The sequence below is a fragment of the Homo sapiens genome, chromosome 7 (genome assembly GCF_000001405.40).
Source record: "Homo sapiens chromosome 7, GRCh38.p14 Primary Assembly".
In the NCBI taxonomy this organism is placed as follows: domain Eukaryota; kingdom Metazoa; phylum Chordata; class Mammalia; order Primates; family Hominidae; genus Homo; species Homo sapiens.
This window is the reverse complement of record NC_000007.14, coordinates 67,550,649-67,557,823: the sequence shown is the minus strand read 5'-3', so window position 1 is coordinate 67,557,823 and position 7,175 is coordinate 67,550,649. Positions and strand designations below refer to the sequence as shown.

At 44.4% G+C, this 7,175-nt stretch overlaps 1 annotated feature.

The window, feature by feature from the left end:
• Positions 4,756-4,956: a silencer, noted in NCBI's record as "peak6551 fragment used in MPRA reporter construct". NCBI's record gives its function as "represses an SCP1 promoter by STARR-seq MPRAs in K562 erythroleukemia cells {active_cell/tissue: K562}" and the evidence as "EXISTENCE:reporter gene assay evidence [ECO:0000049][PMID:32103011]".

The following is a 7,175-nucleotide window of genomic DNA, read 5'->3' as shown; positions in this document are numbered from 1 at the left end:
GAGTCTTTATGGTCAGCAGTAAAAATTAGGTAAAATATTGATAACTTGACTATTAATGGTCTCTCCAGGGTGGGCCCCTGATTGCTTGAGTGGCTAATCATCTGCAGAAACTACTTTCAATCTCCGTTTTGACCTCCAAAGAAATCTCTAAGAATGCACGAGGATAGAGTTCCTTGAAAATATCTGAGGCACTCATTACCTGTCCACACAAAGCGACCCATGTGGTGTGGCAGGGGGTCGATTCCATTATGAGAGTGACATCCGCCTTAGTGGCTTGTAGAGCATTTTATATGAGTGCATTTGCTGAATTCCAGGAAGACACCATCAGCCTCCCGCACCAAGGTATTTCTGCTGTCCGTGTGGTTGGACAGCTTCTTCAAGGGAAATACTTTCTGTGAAATGCCTCCCCAGTTGATGCTTCACAGTTGACTAATTGCCAGGATAATCGGTTCTAACCGTTTACCGTCTGAAAGCATCACTCTTGACTTGATCATTTAATTCTCAAAACGCCTTTGACTGATGGGAAAGTGTGCTATTTTACTTGCAAAGCTGATTGCAAATTATTTTCTGATTGCGAATTTATTTTGTTTGTGACAAAATGTTTCCCACTAATTGCTAAAATAATCTTGTAGGAACTTGCCATTGAACATCTCATTTATTAACCCACTGTAGTTTCTTCCTAATCCTTGTTTTCATCTTTTTATTTATTTTAAACACCTATTTACAGGATCATTAATCCTCATTAATATTATCTGGAACCCTCAAGCAGCTACCACAGCTGTTTCTGTGAAAGAAAACCACACAGTCAGTGAAACTCAGCCCTAAACTCTCTGCCCTACTCCCTAGCCTTTCTTCTGGGAGATGAGGGGCAAAGAGAAAAACCCTGACGATAGCCAATGGAAAGCAATAGAAGTGAATCTTGTTGGCCAATAGAGAAATATACATTATTCATTTGCCTCTGGCCAGCCAGATAATTAAAATTTTCCAGGAGCAGTGGCTCACGCCCATAATCCCAGCACTCTGGGAGTCCGAGGCGGGCGGATCACGAGGTCAGGAGATCGAGACCATCCTGACTAACATGGTGAAACCCCAACTCTACTAAAAATACAAAAAAATTAGCCAGGCGAGGTGGCAGGTGCCTATAGTCCCAGCTACTTGGGAGGCTGAGGCAGGAGAATGTTGTGAACCCGGGAGGTGAAGCTTGCAGGGAGCGGAGATCACGCCACTGCACTCCAGCCTGGGCAACAGAGCGAGACTCCATCTCAAAAAAAAAAAAAAAATTCCAGATTCTCTTCTTTGAACAGCCACAGGTAGACAGAACAGTAAGACACTGTTTAGAAAATATTCATAGCCTGGGAAACATAGCAGAACCCCATCTCTACAAAAAATACAAATATTAGCCACACATGGTAGTGTGCGCCTGGGGTCCCAGCTACGTAGGAGGCTCACACAGCAGGATTGCCTGAGCCCAACAGTTCAAGGTTACAACAAACTATGATTGTGCCACTGCACTCCAGCCTGGGAAACAGAGTGAGATCCTGTTGAAAGACAGAAGAAAAGAGAGAAAAAGGAAAGAAACAGAGAGAAAGAAAAGAAAGAGAAAGAAAGAGAGAGAAAGAAAGAAAAAGAAAGAAGAAGAGAGAAAGAAAAGAAAGAAAGGAAGGAAGGAAGGAAGGAAGGAAAGGAGAGAGAGAGGAAGGAAGGAAGGAGAAAGGGAGGGAGGAAGGAAGGAAGGAAGGAAAGAAGGAAAATATTCATTAAATTTCAACAATATTCTCATCTGGATAGCATCCTTTAAAGATATTTGGACCTAATATTAAGCAGGAAGAAGATAAATTTGGACTTATCAGACCAGAAAGCATGAGTGACAACAGTGCCTGTTGCACTTTTGGCTGACAAAAGTGAACCTGTTACAGCTCACTCATTATACAAGTGAGGAAACTGAGGCATGGAGCAATTGAGTTAGAACTGGGATTGGTGAAGAGAAGCCCACTGCAGTGCTGTTATTTGGATTCAGGCTCTATCCTCAAGGTTTTCTTTGGATTATTGTGCATTTGAGATGGAAGGAAGTAGTATTGCACATAAATTTCATTTTTCTAGGAGCTCATGCCCAATTACAGAAAATAATTGACTTTCCCTAAATGCCCACAGTGGAAATGACAACGTTTTATTTCTTTAAATGCTGCTGAGGGTTAAAGCACATCATGCTGGAACCCAAAGATCGATCTTGTAGGCTCTCTTTTATGGACAGATTATGACAAATGTCACTCTATGCCAAGCACCAGAGAACCTTTTCAAACACTGCCTGTCTTCAACTCAAAGCTCGGCAGAGAGAAGGCACTCAGATTTTTGGTTGAATAAATGACTGCATGACAGTTTCTCTGGGCTTTGTTATGAGGCAGTAATTCTCAAGAAAGGACTTTAATCTGACTCTAATTTTTCCAGCTCTGCTTGGCCAAAGTTCATGTCAAGTTGACCTTAATTCATTCACCTTCTTGGATATGCTTCAAGCTCAGCTACATTAATCCTTCCTTCCTGGTGGGCTCCTGCACTCATTGCAAACCGCTTTTTCTGGATCTGGCAGGGAATTGCCTATAATTACCCTTAATGTACTCCTGGAGCAAAGATATGCATGTTAAGAGCCAAAATAGAAGGTTAACTACAAACTGTGCAGTAATGCAATTACCTCTCAATTATCCCTTTCAACGCTTAGGGAATGAATAGGAGACATTACGCCCAAACGTGCAGTAGAGTCCCTGGTTATTGGAGGCGCGGTGGAGGTAGGGAGAGGCAGAAAAATAAGTAAGGCTGCTTTGGGTAGAGAATGCCAGGGAAGGCTGATGACTCCTTACCGGAATTACTCCTGTTGATATCGGAATTTCTTTCCAATTCTGATTGCTGTACTCTGCAGAAGGTGGGCTGGATTAGTGAGTATCCCATGTCTATTTGATTAAGACCTTCTACTCAGCAATGGCTTTCTGCAGAATTCTCTGTATAAAGGGGTGCATTGCCCCCACACACACACAGAAATACATATCTGGGGTTAGCAAAGACTTTTCAGACAAGCAGGTCAGCAAACATTGGGCCAGTCGTTAACTTTTGGCTGCGACACATGGGGTGCTATCCTACAAAACCTGGACAGGATAGGCACCCTATTTATCCCACCCATTTGCAGAGGGTTCTGCAAAACAAGAGAGACTGGAAAAAGGTGTTTAATCAAAGCAGACTAATTTTGAAGCCCAGAGGAAAGACTGCAGTGCAAAGACAGATGGGGAAAGCACTTAGAACTAAGCCTATCTAAGCCAGGCGCGGTGGCTCATGCCTGTAATCCCAGCACTTTTGGAGGCCAAGGCTGGTGGATCACAAGGTCAGGAGTTCGAGACCAGCCTGAAAAACACGATGAAACCCCGTCTCTAGTAAAAATACAAAAATTGGCCAGGTGTGGTGGCGCATGCCTATAATCCCAGCTGCTCAGGAGGCTGAGGCAGGAGAATTGCATGAACCCAGGAGGCAGAGGTTGCAGTGAACCAAGATCGCACCACTGCACTCCAGCGTGGCTAACAGAGCAAGACTCTGTCTAAAAAAGATAAAAATAAAAAAAGAACTAAGCCCATCCAGGGAATGCTGGCATTCCGCTTGGGCCAGAGCATGATACAGGAGCTTGGAGATAACTTAAAGAGACAATAAGAGTCAGGGAGTTGAGGCCATCTGTGTGCCAGCTTCACAAGCATTCATTCACATCTGCTGATGCCACACATGAGGTCGCTCTTTATCAAGCAGGACTTTATCAGCTGCTGTGAGCAAACCGGTATCCAAGACATCACCCTCACTTCTTCAATTCCCTCTTGTTCTTTTTCATCTAATTAACAGACTGCTTTTAATCTAAATTATATCTTCTGTGATCACATTGGTTGATGTGGTTATCTATTGCTGTGTAACAAACCATCCCAAAACTTAGGGGCTTCTAACAGCAACTCTTTAGTTTATGTCATGGTTCTGAGGATTGACTGGGAGCAGAGCTGGTTGTGTCTCTCTCAGAGTGTCTATGTAATTGCAGTCGAACATCAGCTGGGAGTGCCGTCATCCATAAGCTGTCCTGAACATCGTATCTAAGGTGATCTGTTCATGTGGCTATTGATTGGGAGCTCAGCCTGGACTGTGGACCAGGGTACCTATATGTGACCTCTCCATTAGCTTGGGCTTATCCCAGCCTCGCAGCTAGGTTCTGAGAGGCAATGTTCCAAAATAAACATTCCAAGAGGCCCAGGCCGAAGCCACACCATTTGACCTAGCCACAGAAATTCCAAAACATTGCTTTTGCCACATTCTATTGGTCCAACAAACCACTTAAAGCCAGCCCAGATTCAAGAGGAGGATAATTACACTCTAGCTCTTGCTGTAAGGAGCACCATCTGTATATAGAGAAGGAAAGACTTGGTGGTGGCAATCTTCAGCCATAGCAAAATCCAAAATCATAGTGCCTTTAACACAATGGAAGTTGATTTCTCATGTAAAATTTGTCCAGTGGGAGAAAGCGCTGGGCAGATTTTTATGAGCCCTGCTTCACAAAGTCCCCAAGGATCTTGGATCCTTTTATTAAATTGGTGCAAAAGTAATTGCTGTTTTTGCCATTAAAAGTAACAGCAAAAAAACTTCAGTTACTTTTGCACCAACCTAATAGTTCAACCCTCAGCCATCTCTAGGGCACGACCCTCATCCTCAAGGTCATAGAGAGCAGCACCTGCATGCCAAGCAGAAAGATGGAGAAGGAGGTAAAGAAAAGGAGTCAAGGTCTAATGCCAGCTTCTGTTACAGCAAGTTCCTATAACCTGTCATGCAACACTTGTGCTCGCATCCCATTGGCCAGAACCTAGTCACATGGTCAGACCCAGTTGCAAGGGAAGCTGGGAAAAGTAACCTTTATTCTGAGCCGCCATGTTCCAGGTGAAAGTTCAGGGGCTTGTGTTCTAAAGGAAGCAAGAAATATTGACTGTAACGGGTCCATTCGCTCTCTTTGGATAAATCCACCTCTTTCTCAGTAATCATGAAAATCACACATTTGATATTTCCCCTAATATTCTGATACAGTTCCTGGAGGGAGCTCCTCCCACTTCCTTGAGAATCTCTGCCCCTTCCGTATCCCTATCCAAGACGTTTTGGTCGAATTTAACTACCCATAGTTTCTTTTAAGAAAGTAATAGATATTTTGCGTTACCAACTATAAAATTATATTGTAATATTTAATGTGCCTTTCAACTGTTTCTTCCCTCTCAGATATTCTTATGAACCTGGCCACTGCTTCCAATACACACACAGTCCTGATTGAAAGGCATTTCTTTAGGCCAAATATAGCAACAGATTTCCATCTGACTGCCAACTCAGATGGGAAGTGGCTGCCTGGATGGTGAGACTACTGCATCTGGACTCAAAGAAGGCCTTTGGGTTCCTGGGTGACATCCAGTTCCTCCCACTAAAAGAGAATGTCTATGACGAACAGTCATTAATGGGGCTGGGGCTATAACATTCTACTTCACAACTGTTCCTCCCTGTCCCATATCAACCCAAGTGTACCAAGTCCTATTGGTATTGTGCATTCAACTTCTGACCAGTTCCTTTGGGGTCAGCCCCACAGCCAAGTCAGGTTCCCAGATTCCCAGTCCATACCCTGCCCGATTTCCAAGCTTCTTCCTCTTCATTTCCTCCTAAGAAGCTAAGTTCCCAACATGCCTTGCAATGCAGCACTCAGGAGGAATGGTCCCTAAGGGCTAGGTTTTATGAAAATAATGATTGAAATAGAAATCCTGGCCAGGCACAGTGGCCCACGCCTGTAATCCCAACACTCTGGGAGGCCTAGGCAGGTGGATCACCTGAGGTCAGGAGTTCAAGACCAGCCTGGCCAAAATGGTGAAACCCCGTCTCTACTAAAAATACAGAAATTAACCGGGTATGGTGGCGTACGCTTGTAGTCCCAGCTACTCAGGAAGCGAGGCTGAGGCACAAGAATCACTTAAACCCAGGAGGCAGGGGTTGCAGTGAGCCAAGATCGTGCCACTGCCTGGGCAACAAAGCAAAACTCTGTCTCAAAAAAAAAAAACAATAGAAATCCTGAAAAGAGTTATTAGTGCAACTGAGACTTCTCAACTCCCATCAGAGGGGAAGGCAGATTATGGGTGGGGAGTAAAGTGATTACCCAAAGAGATCAGTAATTGACAGACAGGGAGTGTGACTGGATCCAAAGGAGAATGCTAGAGAAGTTATATCAATTGTCAGAGGCCGCAAATAGAAGACAAAACCTGTAAGTTAGAAGCCAGGTAAATGCCAGACTGATGGGAGGTGAGGAGCAAAGGTGGGAGTTGACACTAGGTGATCACTCCTGATGTGGACGGGACTAGGGCATCTGAAATGTCCTCCCCTGTGGCACTGAGCATGGAACAAGGGGATGTTCACCCTTGTCAAAGGGCAGGGATCAGGACAGACTCTGTATTCCACCAGGGCCTGACTGGGAAGCAGAAGAGAAGAGTTTATTCCAAATGAGCCTCCACTAACTTTGAAGAGCGGAGACAGCCGGCAGCCGCGTTCCCACTTGAGATGGAAAGCTGCCCGGGCAGCGTCGAGTGCTTTTTCCAAGTGCAGCCACGGGAAGCCACGGCTGCGGCTGTAACAAAGCCAGCCGTGCCCCCAGATAAGCCTTTTATAAGGCCTGTTGCTCCATTTTTGTTTCACATAATTTATTGCTCAGTACATATTGATAATACAATTGTCAGCCCAGCAGACATGTTCCATTTTAATAGTTCGCATGAGATACATTATTGATCCTATGCCACTAAATAAAAAACTCGTTTGTCAGGGGAACACAAAATGGCTTTTAATGGACACAGCCAAACACCTGCTACTAGTTAGGGAAGAAAAATAACCACCCTGCCACAAGGACATTTGGAAGCTGCCCTGAAATGCTTTGGTTTAGGGATTAGCAGGTCTCTTGGAAAACAGGGGGGTGTCTGATCCAAATATCCTAGGGCTGAGATTCTCATTGATGGTAGAAAAAGCTGACATTGGCCAGAGATCTACTGCTTGCCAGGCATTTTTATTTTCTATAACTTTTTTTTTTTGAGATGGAGTCTCACTCTATCACCCAAGCTGGAGTGCAGTGGCATGATATCAGTTCACTGCAACCT